The sequence below is a fragment of the Homo sapiens genome, chromosome 13 (assembly GCF_000001405.40).
Source record: "Homo sapiens chromosome 13, GRCh38.p14 Primary Assembly".
Classification (NCBI taxonomy): domain Eukaryota; kingdom Metazoa; phylum Chordata; class Mammalia; order Primates; family Hominidae; genus Homo; species Homo sapiens.
The window spans coordinates 73,720,550-73,740,513 of record NC_000013.11 but is presented as its reverse complement, the minus strand read 5'-3'; the positions used below and the strand labels follow the sequence as shown (position 1 = coordinate 73,740,513).

The 19,964-nt window shown below is 38.2% G+C and overlaps 1 protein-coding gene across 20 annotated transcripts in view, besides 1 other annotated feature; it reads left to right on the top strand.

Annotated features, from left to right (window-relative positions):
* KLF12 (KLF transcription factor 12) overlaps nt 1–19,964 on the top strand; it is a 619,957-nt gene that overhangs the window by 565,532 nt on the left and 34,461 nt on the right. The gene's annotated exons all lie outside the window — the stretch shown is intronic.
* Nucleotides 8,443–9,013: an enhancer, noted in NCBI's record as "OCT4-NANOG hESC enhancer chr13:74305638-74306208 (GRCh37/hg19 assembly coordinates)". NCBI's record gives its function as "activates a minimal SCP1, AML or CMV promoter by ChIP-STARR-seq in naive H9 embryonic stem cells {active_cell/tissue: H9 hESC(naive)}" and the evidence as "EXISTENCE:reporter gene assay evidence [ECO:0000049][PMID:30033119]".

Genomic DNA, 19,964 nt, shown 5'->3' with positions numbered 1-19,964 from the left:
AAAATAAACTAAAGGATCCATGACATGCCTATTCCTAAATCATCTTCTGTGATAATGCTTAAGCAGGTTTACCCTGTGTCTTAGTCTTTTTCAACTACTGTAACAAAATGCCATAGACTGAGTGGCTTACATATAACAGAAATTTATTTGTCGTGGTTCTGGAGGCTGCAAAGTCCAAGATCAGGGTACCTAAAGATTCAGTGTCTGGTAAGGGCCTGCTTTTCTGGTTCATGGACCTCACCCTCCTACTGTGTCTTCACATGGTAGAAGGAGCAAGGCAGCTCTCTGGAGCCTCTTTTATAAGGGCACTAATACTCATGAGGGCTCCACCCCTATGACCTAATCATCTCCCAGAGGCTTCACCTCCTAATACCTTCACTTTATTTTTTAACTTGTGTTCTTGCTGTGAAAATTTAAAAAACCAGCTTTCAGACATACCTAAATGAGACAGTTTCAATGTATGAAATTTTGGGAGGACATAAACATCAGACCATAGCACCCCACAACTGTCTACAGTGGTCCAGTTCCTTCTCATGGCTTTCTAGGAAGGCTTCTTGTTACACTTAATTAACACACCTCAGAAGGTAATATGTTTGTGCTAAAAGGAAAAACTGTGATTTGGAATTGGAAATTACACAATTTGTTTAAAAGATAAAATTATCCAAGAATGTGCTAAACCCAGATAAATTTACAAATGTTTTTATCATTGGCAAAGCTAGCTTAATGTTTTCTCTGATTATTTATCATCATGTCTATGTAAATGCAAGAACGATTCAGAAGCTATTAATGGCCAACAATTGTGAACTTACCCTAGAATTAGAAGGAAAAAAAAAGGAGACTCTAGTGCTGCATAGAGTCTCTAGAGAATGTCAGATAACAGCAGTGGAATAAAGGACATACATGGGCATGCTCATTTCTCCAGCCTCTGCCCCAGAGCAATGACTCCCAACCTTTATGGAGATATAATACTCATTAATTTTTTTATTGATTTTATGCCTTCACTTCTACATCTTACATGAGCTATATGACATACATTTTTTAAAAACTGAATTGAGCCCTTTTGCAATTTCCCTTGAGGTAAACAACAATACCTTAATATATTCCCAGCCCAGAATTGGGGAACAGTGAGAAATCATTTATTAAGAAAACATTTGTTAAGGTATTTACCAGGCACTGCTTCAGATGCTTTGCATGTTAACTCATTTAATCCTTTCCACACCCTTTAAGACAAGTACATTTATTATTATTATTATTATTATTATTATTATTATTATTAATTTGAGACAGAGTCTCACTCTGTCACCCAGTCTGGAGTGTAGTGGCACAGTCTCGGCTCACTGTAGCCTCCACCTCGTGGGTTCAAGCAATTCTCCTGCCTCAGCCTCCCGAGTAGTGGGATTACAGGCATGCACCAACACATCTGGCTAATTTTTGTATTTTTAGTAGAGACAGGGTTTCATCATGTTGTCCAGGCTGTTCTTAAACTGCTGACTTCAAGTGATCCACCCACCTCGGCCTTCCAAAGTGCTGGAAATACAGGCATGAGCCACTACGCCCAGCCAAGTACGTTATTTATTCCGTTTTATAGAAAGGAAACTGAGGCATTGAGGCCCTAAGTTACTTGTCCATAGTGGCACAGTTAGATGGGTGGGGCCTGGTAATCTGACTGCAATACCAGGCATTTAACTGTAAACCTCAACAGATGGCCGGCAGTCCACACTTCAGAAGTAACAGTCATCAGTGGAAGTTGTATGAAAATCACTGTGGCTATGTTTATCATGGTCTTTGTTCTTTATAACATTTCACCTACACAGCCTTTTTAGGGTAATCTTACCATTCATGTTACATCCCTCAGCATGCATAGATTCTATCTGAATTTCTCCATAGTCACTCATATTTGGGTTTTGCCTGACTTTTGTTGTTGTTTTTCCCCAAACATAATACATATTTACTTACCCAGATTTGAGATTCGAAAGATCAGAGACAGTGTCTTTTACTACTTGTCGATTTTTCACAAAATACATGGAAAAACAGTAGAATAAGAACTTAAAAATATGTGATGGGCCGGGTATGGTGGCTTATGCCTGTAATCCAAACACTTTGGGAGGCTGAGGCGGGTGGATCACCTGAGGTCAGGAGTTCGAGACCAGCCTGATCAACTTTATGAAACCCTCTCTACTAAAAATACAAAAAAAAAAAAAATTAGCCAGGCGTGGTGGTGGGCACCTGTAATCCCAGCTACTTGGGAGGCTGAGGCAGGAGAATCGCTTGAACCCTGGAGGTGGAGGTTGCAGTGAGCTGAGATCAGGCCACTGCACTCTAGCCTGGGTGACAGAGCAAGACTCTGTCTCAAAAAAATGTGTGTGTGTATATATATGTGTGTGTGTGTATATATATATATATATATATATATATATATATGTACACATACATATATGTGTGTGTATATATATATATACACACGTATGTGTGTGTGTGTGTGTGTGTGTGTTTGTTGAATGAAGTGTATTTAAGGAAGTTAAACTATGTTGATTTTAATTATTAAGCTGTTTCTCACATCTGCCAGAATGTAATCTTCACATATTTTGATGTTGTTGGTTTACAGTCACGTATTAGTGCCAAAGTGCAATTGGCCAATCTTGTCTTCTTCAGAAAGGCTCTGAGAGAATTTTTTTCTAAAGAAAATGCTTAATTAGTTCTTATTGATAGTGTACATACTCTTTAGCTAATCTTCTTGCTGTGAAAATCAGCTTTTAGATATACCTAAATGAGACAGTTTCGTATATTTCCACATATCCATAATATTCATGCATGGGATTAGAAAATGTCAGAGCCTTGCTGTTCTATATTAAAGTATATTTTAATTGCCCAGTAATCAAGGAAAGTTAAATTCTAATTAGTATGAACTTCGTACCTGATTCACAGGTATTTTATGATAAATCTAACTTCAGTGTTTGTCTAAAACATTTTAGTATACTAGAATCACAGCATCATAGGACCTGAAAGGGCAGGAAAGAGTATTTAGTTCCACTGTCTTATTTTACAGATGAAGAGACTGGAATCCAGGGCTGCTAAATGACTTATCCAGGGTTACACGAAAATAACACTTTCCCATTGTTGACACTCATTTGTAAGGACCCTTGAAGAATGTTGAGAAAAGGCCTCTTAGTAACTAGTGAAGTAAATTTGAAGAATAAATAAATCTGATTCCAGATAAAATTCTTTTTAATTTGTGACTCAAAGAAAGGCTACAGTTGTAGCTGAAGAAAGGGCAGGATATAAAATATAAAATTAATAGAATTCCCCTGCATTGCCAATAACACATTTAATACATTAAGCTCCATAGTGACTTGTTAGGCTTCTGAGCACATTAGCTTTTTGAATCAAGGCTTCAGAAGTTGCCCTCAGGTAATCTAGTAAGAAGAAAGAAGAAAAAAATAAATTGCACAGATTGGAAAGTAGGGAGAGAAATCTCAGAAATCCACTGGTACGTACTCTTTTTCATCAGAACCACAGTGTATTTTTGAAGTTGGTATATAATGAAGAGAGCTGCAAATTAAGAAAATATTTCATTTATGGCTCTAAATTTTTTGAATAAAAACTAGAAACCATAATATATGTTGGAGTATATTTATTAGTATGTAATTTTCCCCTGGGTTTTGTTTTGGTCATTCTCTTTCAGAGTGAGCATCAATACTCCATTTTTCTACCTTACCTGCCCTTTGAATAAACCTGAACTTGCACTGATGATGTTAAACATGTTTGAACACTTGACCACAACATACCCCATTAACCCTGCATGGAAGCAACCCATCTGACAACCAAACTCTGGGTTGTTATTTGGAAGCCGAAATATGCATCATGAGTGCATTTGCGCATTACCTGTTACATAAGCACAGCAAATGCTTGGTGATACATTAAAGTTCCTGCTTGACAATATGATCTTTAATATGCAGACACATATCACCTGATACTAGGTAATTGTATGGAAATTATGAGAAGTAATGGGGGAGAAAGTATAAAATGGTGACTTTTCTAGTATAGGGATTATTTTACTGACTCTTGGAGTCAGACAGTTTTAAAATACTATAGTTTATATAGGTAGCTGGAAGAATCAAATATTTATTATGTTGATAATTAACTGTCTGAATTGAGATGAATAGTTTATAATTTACAGAAACTCCAGGCTTTCTAGAGATGATATCCTTAATTAATGTCATTCATCTATGAAACAGTTCTCAAACTCCACAGTCATTTTCTCTACAAATGAATTACATTATGTGGATTTTGATGGCTGGGAGATAAGTCCTTGAATGGAGGAACCAAGAGGTGAGTTAGAGGCATAAACTAAGGAATTTCAGTTAGTAGGGTTTAGGAGTGACAGTCTAGAATGAGTGGAGACTAGGAGATTCATCTTGATGCAAGCATACTTAGATCCATGTTACTCAGGATAGCATAGGTGAGAGAGGAGCTGGTAGAATTTTAATGTCATACCTGGGTAGTACAACTGGTTATTATTAAAACATGGTAAAACTTGAAGCAGGTAAAAAAAAAAAGAAAAAGAAAGAAAGAAAATCAGTGCATACAGGGCAAAGACAAGTACTTGGTCGCAGCATTCAAAATCTTGACCCAGTTGGCCTATGCATCCTTATCTCTCACTGTGCACCCTTGACTCTCCCTTAGACTCAGTTTTTATGTGACGTGGGTAACTCAGTAGTATCAATCTCATAGAGTTGTTCTGCAGATTAAATACATAATACTTACATAGCAAATAGACAGTGCTTGATATCATTTACTAAGTGCTTGATGAAGATGAGCTACCATTCTTCCTTTTCCTCAACTCCTCCAGAAGTAAGCTGTGAATTCCAAGTAGATCACTTTACCCTTTTTTGACCAAATGCTGCTCACTCCTTTTTGTTTTTAGGCCAATGCTCAGGTGGTTCCCACAGCTGGAGTGACCCTCTTCACTTCCTGTGTGCCTCGCTCAGCCCATTCCCACTTGACACGACCTGGCTCAAGTCCCACTCCCTCCAGGATGACTTCCTGACCACCAGAGCCCCTAGGGGGCGACATCTTCCTCGAAATCCCTCTAATTACCATGAACATAATGGAGGCACCGACTTTTGTTGTCCATTGTATTGAATGATATCTTTTAAATTACATGTAGATAAATGCTTTGTCATACTACTAACTAAACAGCATGTTCCCTTTCTTTTGAGACAGGGTCTTGCCCTGTCACCCAGACTGGAGTGCAGTGGCACAATCATAGCTCACTGCAGCCTCAAACTCCCTGGGCTCAAACGACCTTCCTGCTTCAGCCTCCCAAGTTACTGGGACCACAGGCATGTGTCACAATAGCTGGCTTTTTTTTTTTTTTTTTTTTTTAATAGTAGAGGTGAGAACTTGCTATGTTGCCCAGGCTGGTCTTGAACTACTAGGCTCAAGTGATCCTCCCGCCTTGGCCTCCCAAAATGCTGAGATTACAGGTGTAAGTCACTATGCCCAGCCAGCATGGTCCTTAAGGGAGAGATTGTGGGATATAATTCTCTGTGGCCTCCAAACTGTTGAGTATTACCTCTTGCAGAATGGTGTGTGGAATAAGCAATAACCTTTGGAGTCAGACAGTGCCTGATTGGAATTCCTGACCTGCCACTTACTTGCTATGTCATCTCGGGCAGTGTACCTTTCGTGAGCCTTAGTTTTCTTATCTGCAAAATGAAAACACTCGATATAATTTTGTGAAAATCAGACATAATGTATATTAACTTCATAGCACAGTGCAGGGCACAAGTAAATGCTTAATGATATTATTGCTATTATTCAGAATATCAGTGGATGTTTCTTTCCTTAACTGACCAATAGATAATAGCAAAATCATGTTTCCCCCACCCCCCCAAAAAAGGAAGAAAAGACATTTTAAAAATATTTTCAGATATCAAAGAATCTTTTGCCATCTATTATGAAAGTTATAAAAATAAGTAGGTTAAGATTCTTTACCATAAAAATCTCAAACTATTAAGCCTCTATCAACAGATAACCTTGCCTGCCTTTAATAATTAGTACTTAAATTTGCTTGGCACTGTTTTAGGTATTTGGGACACAAAAATGAATAAAAAGTCCCCCAGCCACATAAAACTTACATTCTGCTGAGAGAGATGGATTATGAACAAATAAATATACCATATAATGTTAAGAATGATAAGGTATATGAAGCAAAGCAAGCAATAGACAGTGAGAAGCTGTGGTGCAGGGGTCAGGAGAGGCTATCTAGATTGGGTGCTAGGAATGTCCTCTCTGAAGAACATCTTCAGATGTGACATCTAAAGATGTGAACATGTCTGAAGAAGTGACATTTGGTCAGAGACATGAATTAGGCCAAAGCCATGTGATAATGGTGAGAAACTATTCTAAGCAGAAGAATAGCAAGAGTGAAGGCACTGAGTTGAAATGGATTTGACATGTTCCAGAACAGTTAGGAGGCCACTGTGGCGGAGCAGAGGACGCTCAACAGAATGAAGAGATCTCAGGGTTCCTAGAGCGCCTTATAGGTGATGATAAAGACTTTAAGCTTTGTTCTAAGTGAAATAGGAGACCACTGGGGTTTTGAAAGGACATCATATGTTTTATTGAGAAGACTGTGAGCGACCACTTCACAGCTGTTAGGATGGCTATTAATAAAGAGGAAACTAACAGGTGTTAGTGAGGGTATAGAAAAATTGGAACCCTTGTGCTTTGCTTGTGGGAATGTAAAAGGGTGCAGCAGCCATGCACAGCAGTTTGGTGATTCCTTAAAAAGTTAAACATACAATTGCAAGTAATCCAGCAATTCCATTTCTGGGTATAAAAAAATTGGAAGCAGGGACCCAAACAGATACTGGTCATAACAGCGTTATTCACAATAGCCAAAAGGTAGAGACAACCTAGATGCCCATCTGTCATCCATGAATAAGGATAAAGTGTGTGTGTGAGTGTGCATGTGTGTATATGATCGTGCGTGTGTGTGTGTCAGCATTAGAAAGCAATGAAATTCTGATACATGCTACAATGTGGATGAATCTTGAAAACTTTATGCTAAGTGAAATAAGACAGACAGACATAAAAAGACGAATATTGTATGATTCTACTTATATGAGGCACCTAAAGTAGGCAAATTCATAGAGACAAAAAATATAGTAGAGGTTACCAGGGCTAAAGGAAGGGAGGGGTCAGGGAGTTAATATATAGTGGAAACAGAGTTTCTGTTAGGATGATGAAGAAGCTCTACATGTAAATATTGGTGATGGTTACACAATAGTGTGACTGTACTTGGTGCCACTGAATTGTACACTTAAAAACAGTTAAAGGGGTAAATTTCATGCTATGTATATTTCATTACAATTACAAATAAAAGACTGGGGGGAAGGAGTAAGGGTGTGGGAGCAGGGATTCCAGTTAGATCCTATAGCAGGTAGCCAGATAAGAGATGAGTATGGCAGTGAAGATGGAAGTATTCAAATTTGAGATACGTTTTAGAGGTTGAGCCTGTAGGTCCTGTATAAGCTATAGAAGAGAATAATCATGAGGGACCCCTGTTTTTGTTCTGGACTGCCAGGAGAGAAGTGGTTATTTCCTGAGACAGGGAAAACTGGGAAAGGAGTGGGTTTGGGGAAAAGCATCACTAGTTCAGCTTTGGGCATGTTAAGTTAGAGTTATCTGCTTGACACACAAGTGGAAGGCCTAAAAGATATACGAGTCTGGAGCTCAGGGAAGGGAGAGTTTGAAATAGATTTGAGTGACATACAAAAAGGTATATGAAACACACCATGCGAAACATGGGAATGAGCAAGATCACTCAAGGAAGAGTTGAAACAGAAAGGAGAAACGGCTGGAGGACTGAGCTCAGGGAACCTCCAACATTGAGAGGTCAAGAGGGAAGGGGGTATGCAGATGTGTGATGTGAGATGTTTTTCCTTAATATTAGGCAACTATCTATTGAGCAACTCCTCTGCCAGCCACTGTTTCAGGTGCTTGGAATAACAAGTACCCATAAGGCAGCTCTTACTGCTTATTATCTGTGTTCTTGGGTGAGTTACTTAACATGACTGAACCCCAGATTTCTCTCTCATCTGTAAAATGGGGTTAAACAGCCAGGCACTGTGGCTCATGCCTGTAATCCCAGCACTTTGGGGGGCCGAGGTGGATGGATCACCTGAGGTCAGGAGTTTGCGACCAGCATGGCCAACGTGGTGAAACCCCGTCTCTACTAAAAATACAAAAAAAAAAATTAGCCAGGTGTGGTGGTGGGTGCCTGTAATCCTTGCTACTCAGGAAGCTAAGACAGGAGAATCACTTGAACCCGGGAGGTGGAGGTTGCAGTGAGTCGAGATCACGCCACTGCACTCCAACCTGGGCAACAAGAGCAAAACTCCCTCTCAAAAAAAAAAAAAAAAATAGGGTTAATAATTACAGTTAACACAAAGTGAAACAGCAGTTACTGCAGTCATTTCCCAAATATTTACCTCCTTACGCAAAGTATTTTATTTTCATAACCCTAATTCTTTTTATAACCCCACAAAGTATAGATGCTATTGTTTTATAGGAAAAGAAACCAAAGCTTAGGAAAGGTGTTAAATTTCTCTAAGACATAGCTAAAAATGCATTGGTAAGATTCTTCCTCTGATAGTCCTGAACTCACATCTTTCAGTCCCTTCACTCTTTCAAGCTATTCTCATATGTAAAACACTCAGCAGGCTGCCTAAGGCCACAGTTTGTGCTTTAGAACTTGTTTCTTTCATCCATTTGTCCTTCCCTCCACTTAAGTGCATCTCTTTGAGGTCCTGAAAAACAAACTCCTATAATTAAAAACAATCAGAAAAGCAATCACCTAGGTCATCAAGTATGTAAACTGCCAACTATAAACTTAGTAATATCCCTAAAAGAATTTAATGAATGTTAAATGACTGAATAAACAAAAACTATGCTTTTTTTTTTTTTTTTTGTCTAATTTCCTCTACCATGGACCCGGCCTTTAGAATTACACATTGGACAACATTTAATGAAATTCCATTACCATTAAGTTTATTTTATGAGCTTTCTTTTATAAAATCCATTTAAGTTATTTCTGGAAATACTTCCTTATTACCTAGTTTCTACTATTTTTTTAATTATTACTTGTCTAGCAAATGAAAGTGCTACTCGGTTGTCATTTAAACATAAATGTATTGTTTACATATAGATTAATTTTAATCATTAGCTTTTATCTTGGCACTTTTCCTGTGGACTCCAAGTTGGCTAATGATGTTATCCTGGCCATCCATGCTCAGCTGCTGGGGACACCATTCGCTCCTCTCTCGCCCTTATCCCCGGTTATCCAATCAGTTACCAAGAACTGACTGTTCTACTTCTGAAATTCCTTGGAATTGGTCCCCTCTGATTCATATTTAAAGACACTACTTTGGTTCAGGTAGACTCCACTTACTTGAGTGATGGCAATAGATAGCTCAGTGATTGATAAAGGCCTTGACTTTAATCACCTTCTCACCGTGGAAGCTTACTGTCATAAGCCAGAATTTTCCTTCTAAAACTAAAAAAACGAAACAGAACAAAACAAAATCATGGCACTTCCAGGACCTACACATTGAACTTCTTGTAAGGAAACATTCAGTCTGTCATACGTGGCCCTGGTCATCCTGTCTGCCCTATATCATCCTCTTCTGCCCACCCACCCATTAGGAACCCTGTTTGTTAGACAATTTGGTATTAAGATTAACTGTGAGCTATTTTATCTCCATAATTATAAATTCTCTCTTCCGCCTTCTCTTTACCACCGACACATCCACATACCAGTATTCTTCAAGACTTATTTGTTGGTGTCCTCTATTAAGCTTGCCCTGACTTTCCAAACAGAATCAGACACCCCCTCCCTTGACTCCCATAACACTTCATTACACCTCTCTTTATCACATATCATTTTTTGCCTGATATAATTATTATTTACATATATAATAAGTTGGGGGGAGTTTTTGTCATCTTAGTAGCTGGCACCAGATTCCTCCAGAACAAAATTCTTGGTGTGGAAAACGTGCCCTCTGAAAGGCTTGGAGGTAAACTATGAGCTGAGCCCTGCCCGTACTTCCTAGCCAGGGACCTGGATATAACCTGCCACCAAGGTTTTTGGAGGGCAAAGCTGTTATACTTTTGCCAAAGGAATGAAGCTGTTGTTCTTCTTTTGCGTACAGTTGAGATGGGGGTGGAGTAAGAAATCAGAGAAGAGAGCTGAGAGCTCCCCAGCAAGATGCAAAGAGCCTGAGGCTGGGTGAGACCAGTGAGCAGCACAGAGGCAGTCAAGAGCATTTTACAGACAGAAGGAGCACCGGGCAAAGATAGTGAAGCTCCAGGAGTCCCTCGGCATCTGTCTTTGGAGAGAGGGCTTACTAGACCCTCAGATGGGTTTATGTAGTTTTTGAAGAAGGTGCTCTTGAAGAAGGTGCTAACTTGATGCTAGAGGCCAAGGTCGTTCTGAGAACTAAAGTCCCAGAAATGTACATACATCCTGGAGGGGGCTGGGAAGGAGGCTTTACACTTCCACATGTCGTAGATTTGAGCAAAAATTTGAGTCATTTTTCATTCATTTGAGGTGGAGAGCTGTCCACGTTCTACACTTTACTAGATTATCAAGTTGCTAAGGATGCCTTTGCGTGTTCACTTGCTTCCCTATGGTGAACTTACAGAAAATAATTGTTATTGTATTTTATTGAGTCACTACTGTTAAGATGAAAAATACCTACACAGCTGACTGCTACTAATCTACTACTCTCATGTTACTGATTTTCTCAGCAGGAAAAAGCCATGTTAAAAAACCAACAGTGCATATAATATTTAATCATCAATAAATATGGTACAGGAGGTTTAACATTATCATCTTGACATTTTTAAGATTTTGGAAAGATGAAATGTAGGAAGAGGAGTAGAGACAAGAGCTCTCAGATTTATCATTCCTTAGCAATTAACCACTCCAGGCTATGCTTTCCTCACCTATTTCTCAGCTGTAAGATTGCCAGTAACAGTACCTACCCTGCCTGCTGTCAAGTACTTTTTCTGACAATCTTCTAAGCTTATGTTTGGTGCTATAGAAGCCATTATTATACCATGCAGTATTTTACAGTATACACTGAGAGTATTGTAAACAGTACAGTTCACTTTGAGATTTGAACAGAAATACCTAGCAATATGCTCAGATCCTGAGAACTTTAGACAGTGTGTGGCCAATAATGCAGAAGAGTGAATCTGGGAAAGTAAATAACACATGATACTTTAAAACTTGCAAAGTTCTTGTTTGATCTTTCTTCACAGGTAAATAGGGATGGGCCAGGTCTGTGTATTCAGTGGACATCATGGCCGTGAAACTTTAGTGATATGAAAAGTTCTAGGTAAGAGCAGGGCTGATAGCATAAAAATATAATAAAGAGCAGCTCTGCCAAAGTGGACTAAAAGCAGAACTGAGGTTACAAATATCAGCAAATGGGAACAGTTGACATAGTAAGGAATGGATCTTAGTGTAAACATGGTGCCATGAAGCCCAAGGTTAATGAGAAGCCCAGAACTCTTGCTAACTTATTCTTTGATACCAGCATTATCCTAATAACCAAAACCAGACAAAGACCTCACAAGAAAACTACATGCCAGTATCCCTTATGGGTGGAGACTCAAAAGCCTTCAACAAATTACAAGCAAACTGAGTCCAGCAACATATAAAAAGGATTACCTACCATGAGAAGGGGGACTTACCCCAGAAACGAGGCTGATTTGACATGTGGAAATCAATGTAATACACCACATTAATAGAGAAAACCACGTTTATCTTGATAGACACAGAAAAGGCATTTGACAAAATCCAACATCCTTTTGTAATGAAAACACTCAGTACACTAGGAATAGGTGGCAGTATCCTCAGATAAAATGCATCTATGAAAAACTCATGTCTAACATACTTAATGGTAGAAGACTGAGCACCTAACCCTAAGATCAGTAGCAAGACAAGATGTCCATACAGGACTTTCACTCAACATTCTAGCCGAGGCAATTAAGAAAAAGAAATGTAGATTAGAAAGGAAGAAGTAAAGCTATCTCTATTTGCAGTTGACATGATCTTGTATATAGGAAATCTAAAGGGCGCCTCCCAAAAAGTATTAGAGCTAATAAATGAGTTTAACAAGGTTACAGGACACAAGATGAATAAACAAACATTCATTGCATTTCTGTATACTAACAGTGGACAATCTAAAAATTAATTTAAGAAAACGATTTCATTTACAATAGCATGAAAAAGAAGAAAATACCTATGAACATATTTAACAAAAGATATGTAAGGCTTGAACGTTGAAAACTACAAAACATGGTTAAAAAAATTTTTTTAATTAAACGGAAAGATGTCCTATATTCATGGTTTGAAAGACATAATGTTGGTAAGATGGCAGCAGTCTACAATTTGGTTTTCATCCAAATTTCAGCTGCATTTTCTTTTACAGAAATCGATGATGGCTGGCCACGGCGGCACACGCCTGTAATCCCAGCACTTTGGGAGGCCGAGGCGGGTGGATCACCTGAGGTCAGGAGTACGAAACCAGCCTGGCCAACATGGTGAAACCTTGTCTCTACTAAAATACAAAAATTAGCCAGGCATGGTGTTGCACGTCTGTAATCCCAGGTACTCAGGAGACCGAGGCAGGAGAATCACTTGAACCCGGGAGACGGAGGTTGCAGTGAGCCAAGATCACGCCACTGCACTGCAGCCTGGGCCACAGAGTGAGACTCCATCTCAAAAAAAAAAAAAGAAAGAAATTGATGAGATGATTCTTAATTTTATGTGAGAACAATCTGAGGGGGGAGAATAAATTGGGAGGAATAATGTTTTCCAATTTAAAAACTGATCCTAAAGCTATAAAATTAAGACATTGTGGTACTGAGATAATTATACATAGACAAATCCATGGAATAGAAGTAAGAATCCAGGAATCAACCCTTACATTTATGGTAAATTGGTTTTGTCAGTGGTGTCAAGACAATTCACTGAGGAAAGAATAATCTTTTCAACAAATGTTGCTGGGATAACTGAATATCCCCATGCAAAAGAATGAAATTGGACTCCTTCCTTTCTTATACCATACGCAAAAATGAACTCAACAATTGATCATGTATCTAAATGTAAGAGTCAAAGCTATAAAAGTCTTAAAACATAGGAGTAAATCTTTGAGACTTTATGTTAGTCCAAGCCATCTTACAGCACCAAATATTTATCACAAAAAATAATAAAGTGAACTAAATCGAACTTCAAAATATTTGAGAATTATATATCTGATAAGGGACTTGCATCCAGAATATATAAAGAAATCTTACAACTCAGCAATAAAAAAACAAAACAGTTTACAAATGGTCAAACATTTCTCCAGAGAAGGTATACAAATGGCCCATGAGCACAGGAAAAAATTCTCAACATCATTAGTCATTAGGGAAATGCTCATCAAAACTACAGTGAGGTACAACTTTACAACCTCTAGGATTGCTGAAATTAAAAAGACTGACATTATGCGTTGGTGAGGATGTGGAAAAATTGGATCTTTCTCACAATACTGGTTAAATTATAAAATGGTACAACCACTTTAGGAAACAGTCTGGCAATTCCTTAAAATGCTAAGCATAGAATTATCGTATGACCTAATAATTCTACTCTTAGGTATGTAACCAAGAGATCTGAAAACATATGTCTACACAAAAACTGTTCACAATGTTTATAGCAGTGTTATTCATAATAGCCAAAAAGTGGAATCAACCCAAATGTCCATCAACTAAATAAACTAAATGTGATGTCCATAAAGTAAATGTGATCTATCCATAAATGGAATATTATTTGACTATAAAATGAGTGAAGTATTGATGCATGCTACAATGTGGATGAGCCCTGATGACTTTATGCTCAGTGAAAGAAGGCAGACACAAAAGGCCATGCATTATATGATGCCATTTCTATTAAATGTCCAGAATAGACAAATTCTTAGAAAGTAGATTAGTCCTTGCCAAGGACTAGGAGGAAGGCAGAATGGATGCTAATGAGTATGGGGTTTTCTTTTGGGGTGATGAAAATGTTTTGGAGTCAGATAGAAGTAATGATTGTATAACAATATGAGTGTACTGAATGCCATTGAATTGTACACTTTATAAGGATGACTTCATGATGTGTGAGTAAAGTTATTAGCCACAAAAGAAAGAAGGAACATAATATTAAGAAGTGCTGGGGATGTATTGGACATTGGGTCAGCTTTACCTTACTCTAAACTAATTTTCATGAAAACTCCATTCAGTAATTACTATTAAAAACCCACTTGAAGCTGGGCACGGTTACTCACGCCTATAATCCCAGCACTTTGGGAGGCCGAGGCGGGCGGATCACCTGAGGTTGGGAGGTCATGGAGAAACCCCGTCTTTACTAAAAACAATACAAAATTAGCTGGGCATGGTGGCACATGCCTGTAACCCCAGCTACTTGGGAGGCTGAGGCAGGAGAATCGCTTGGACCTAGGAGGTGGAGGTTGCAGTGAGCCGAGATAGCACCATTGCACTCCAGCCTGGGTAACAAGAGTGAAACTCCATCTCAAAAAATAAATAAATAAATAAATAAATAAATAAATAAATAAATAAATAAATACATTTTGAAATATGGGAATCTAAAACTCCAAGAGTTTAAATGCCCAAGATACCATAGCTAACAAGTTATAATAGCTGTAATTCATGTTTGTATTTTCAGACTACAAGTCCTATGTTATTTTAATTAGCATGTTAAGTCCTATAAATGGAATAGTGATATTTGACCAAGAGAATGAGGCTATTAGTACAAGGAGCTTCCACCACAAAAATCAAAATCCTTATTTTGTCTTTTTTTTTTTCCTTAAAGATATTATGAGCTTATTGATCACAGAACTTTAGAAGTCTCCAAATTAAAACCCAGGTTTGACTATCACATAGTTTTCTCCATTTTAAAGAGAAGCATATTCTATTTTTTTGTTTTTGTTTTCTTGTTTATCATTATAAGTTTCCTTAGTTCAGAAAATATTTCATAATACCTACATTTAAAAAATTACTGGCCCGGCGTGATGGCTCACGCCTGTAATCCCAGCACTTTGGGAGGCCAAGGCAGGCAGATCACGAGGTCAAGAGATCAAGACCATGCTGGCGAACATGGTGAAACCCCCGTCTCTACTAAACATACAAAAATTAGCTGGGTGTGGTGGCGGGCGCCTGTAGTTCCAGCTACTCAGGAGACTGAGTCAGGAGAATAGCTTGAACCCAGGAGGTGGAGGTTGCAGTGAGCTGAGATTGCACCACTGCACTCCAGCTTGGCAACAGAGCAAGACTCCGTCTCAAAAAAATAAAAAATAAAATACTATATAAAATTAAAACCTTGTAGTTTTGTGTTTCAAATCTTATAATTAGAGTGGCAAATAAGCCACAACCAATCCTAGGCTATTGTATCCGAGTTTTCTAGCAGCCAAAGCAAAAAAAAGGAAATAGCGTAAGTGTGTAGTTCTAACTATCTGATGTAAAAAGAAAGAATATCAGTGTTGCCAAGCAGATTTTCCTTCCTACTAAGTAAAAGTACCACACAGATCTTTCTACAACATCATTGGAAAGCGGAAAAGTCTTAGCTCTAGGGGTCAAGAAACCCACTGTTTAGCTCTAACTGCCCCTGTTTAGCTGTGTGAGCTTCGAGCAGTAATTAGTCTAATCTTTCTGAGCCTTAGTTTTCTCATCTTCTAAATGTCTTTAAGATATGAATTTGAGTCATATTGGTATACCTCTCTACTTTTCCAGTGTTAATTTCACAGAGTATTCAAAGAGTAAGGAAAATTTTCAGGAACAAAATCAAAAGCGGGTAAAATATTATCTGTCTCAGGTGGGAAGATTTTTCTTTTCCTCCAGAATTCAAATACCTGGACATCTTATGATGAGAAAAATCCCTACATGTGGCCTCAGACAGTCATTCTGGTAACACAGACTCAAGTGGAAAACTACCAATGAGTTCTACTTGGTCTGATTTATATAATCCTACCCAAGCAATAAAAACTTTCAATAATTCATGTTAACTTAAGTACTACATCAGGCCCCAGGTGTGATGTTCCCCTCCCTGTGTCTATGTGTTCTCATTGTTCAACTCCCACTTATGACTGAGAACATGCAGTGTTCAGTTTTCTGTTCCTGTGTTAGTTTGCTGAGAATGATGGTTTATAGCTTCACCCATGTCCCTGCAAAGGACATTAACTCATTTTTTTATGGCTGCATAGTATTCCATGGTGTATATGTGCCACATTTTCTTTTTCCAGTCTATCATTGGTGGGCATTTGGGTTGGTTCCAAGTCTCTGCTATTGTAAATAGAGCTGCAGTAAACATAACGTGTGCATGTGTCTTTATAGTAGAATGATTTATAATCCTTTGGGTATATACCCAGAAATGGTATTGCTGGGTCAAATGGTAGTTCTGGTTCTAGATCCTTGAGTAATCACCACACTGTCTTCCCCGATGGTTGAACTAATTTGCACTCCCACCAACAGTGTAGTGTTCCTATTTCTCCGCATCCTCTCCAGCATCTGTTTCCTGACTTTTTAATGATCGCCATTCCAACTGGCATGAGATGGTATCTAATTGTGGTTTTGATTTGCATTTCTCTAATGACCAGTGATGATGAGCTTTTTTTCATGTTTGTCGGTCACATAAATAGACATGTATAAGACTCTTCACTCTTGAGTAGCTTAAAGTTTAACTGTAGTCAAATAAGGATAACTTATTTTTAAAATTTAGCATGATTCTAGAGAGTCCCCAAATCAGATGTGTTCAAGAGCCACATGGATAAGATAAAGTGCTGTTCTCATAAAGCAATAGGGCATGGGTTGGGCCCATGCCAGAATGAGGAGGGCAGGGCTTACCCTTAAGGCATTCCGATTAAAATAATTAATCCTATTCTGACCTAGAAAGTTTTTTTTTTTAAGGTTTATGTAATCCACCAAGCTATCACTTCTGGCATAAAACATAATTTAAACCCCGGTATTTTCTGAAGAAATTCTGTGGGAAAATCCCTCTAAATATTTAAGTATGTTATGTGTCTTCCATTCAGTGGGTATGTCTAGTATAATCCAGAAATCCATACCTGTTTCAGAACCCTCGTTTCATCCTACATTATTAATTGATCTCATGGGATAAAGTCTTCGCAATGCATAGGACATTCCCCACAGAGTAGCTATTTTGAATAGATACTCTATATCTGAAATAGGCATTTTTTTGTTAGCCAACAATCCTCTTTCAACTTGTAGTCTAATTTCATCATAAAAGTTTGATAATATAGCCAACCAGAACAGACTGTTAATGATTCGTTTTTTTCTATTTTGATTCTCTTTAAACATTTTGCCTAATACAGCTTATGATCTTGCTTGCTGAAATATGTTGAAACAAAAAGAACAGAAAGCTTGTCATACTTTTAAGTTTTTTAACGGTCTAGAAAGTGATGTGGAAAAATACTTAGTGGCTGCTGTTATATTTAAGTAAAATCATGAAATACTGTGAATCCATCCCCAGGGCACCCCTTGGGCGCCCAAAAGGCTCATTTGTAAACCATTATCTTTTAATTAGTTTAGTAGGAAACTTTGTTTATTAAAGTAAAACAATAATTAAATATGCATTTTAGACGCATTCTGTTCATATGGAAAACTTGCCAAACGCTAGTTTGAATAGATGTTAAGATTGAGCTTTTTGACGCATTTTAGCAAACGTATTTCTCTTGATTTATACATTTTGTGAAAACGTTTTTATTGAATCCAAATTAGAACATGATATAATGTCTCAGTCACAGCTTCTGAAAAGGGTGGCAACTACTAATCTTACAATTTCAATCTGTTCAAAAGTAGTTTTCTGTGAAATGCTACAGACAGGAGTGAGAGAGGAACTTGATGCCTGTGAATCTGCTCCACCTCCGAATGTAGCTGCTGGGGATTTGGTAGTAAATGTATCTAAACACTGCTTTTTCCCTAATTAATATCATAGGAGAGACATTGACATGGTTTGACAGGCACTAGAGTCTGTTGTAGTATGGAAGATAAATATGAAGATTCCTGCCTCTGAGAGCCATCTGCTGGTTAAGGGAAAGCCTACAAAGAAATGCAGATATCTGGCTTGTTCATGTGAATAGAATCTGTCTTACTGAGATTTATGTAAATCCTGATTAACTGAAAGTCTCATCCACTCTTGCTCTGCTTGTGGTCTTGATGATTCATTCCCAGGGTGGTGTTTGATTCACTAACAAAGAAGTCATTCTACCTACAGGTATTCTGTGGCAGAAGTTAATTCAGAATTCTGTAGGTGATGTTCAATGTCTTATTTTAAATAATATGAAACCTTAGAAACAGTACAAAATATACTTTGTAAACTGAATGCTCCCACTTCCCTTAAGGTAATTCTATCGTGCAACCAACTCAATTCTTTTTGGTACAATTGTAAATAAAGTGGAATGTCAGGGAAGGGACTAATTTTGTGGCATTAATGGTCAAGGAAGACATTAGCATATACCACTGCCAAACTCAGCCTTTAAAAAACATTTCCCTTGGAAATACATAGTTTATAACAACTTTAAGAAAATATGTACTGGGTAGGCATAGTGTCTCATACCTATAATCCCAACACTGGGACGCCGAAGTGGGAGGATCACTTGAGGCCAGGAGTTCAAGACAGGCTAGGACAACACAGCAAGACCCTTTCTCTACCAAAAAAAAAAAAAATTAACTAGGCATGGTGGCATGCACCTGTAGTCCTAGTTCCCAGGAGGCTGAGGCGGAAGGATTGTTTGAGTCCAGGAGTTTGAGGCTCCGGTGAGCTATGATTCTACCACTGCACTGCAGCTTGGGCAACAGAATGAGTTCTTGTCTCTTTTTAAAAACAAGATGAAAGGAGAGAAAAGAAAATACTTTCTTTGGTAGATTAATAGTAAGTGTACTGAATGCCCATCTGACAGTACTTACAGAACGGTTTACCTTTTTAAAATTCTCCAGAGAAAAGTATATGTCTTATCGTTGCAGGCTATATTCAATAACACTTATGTGTGCTGTTGTTTTATATAATTGGGTTAAAGGGGAAATTTAAATGCTATAGATATTTTGTTGCTTTTTCCCCTTCTATCATATGTTGGTTTGTAATACCTGTATCTTCATCTGAATAAGCATAACATTGTAATTAAAATTGAGTTCTGGAATCAACCACTCAGGTCTGAGTTTTAGTGTAGCCGCAGACTTTGTCTTGGCCTTGGCCTTAACCTCTCTGTGCCTCAGTTTCCTCATCTGTAAAAGAGGGATACAGTGTACAGGGATAGTAGTGTCAATCTCAGAGGGTTGCTCTGAAGCTTAAGGCATTTAGGTCGGTGCCTGACACCCACTAAGCATTCTGTAAATATCATTGTTATCCTCAGCTGTGGCCCTTGGAATTCTGTTGTGATTGCGTGTGTGAATTTACTAAAGCTCCTTCAATTCCAGTGTTTTCTGCTCTGGTTTTTAAATCTGGGATGTGTATGTCTTCTTTCCAGGCTTGAAAGATTGTCCTGGCCTTTTTAATTTTTTTTTAACTCCTGTAAAAACTCCAGTTTCAGTGAAGGACATCTCATCATGCTAAGGTCACACATGACGAGTGGTCTTTTATTACCGGCTGATTACAGTTATCCCTAATTTCTTTCATGGCAGCCATGTGGCGCCTTCCATTTAAATAGAGCTGTTCTTGGATGTGACTTTTTGAGCCTCTCTGGGTTTAATTCTAATTTAACTTGCCATTCCAAGTGGGACTATTGTGCAACCAAAGTCATGATTCACTCATTTGTTCTCTCTAGATCTAATTATTACAACGTGGTACCTGTGAGGCCCCCTCAGGTGTTCATTCACTACTCTAAATGGTCTAACCTTCT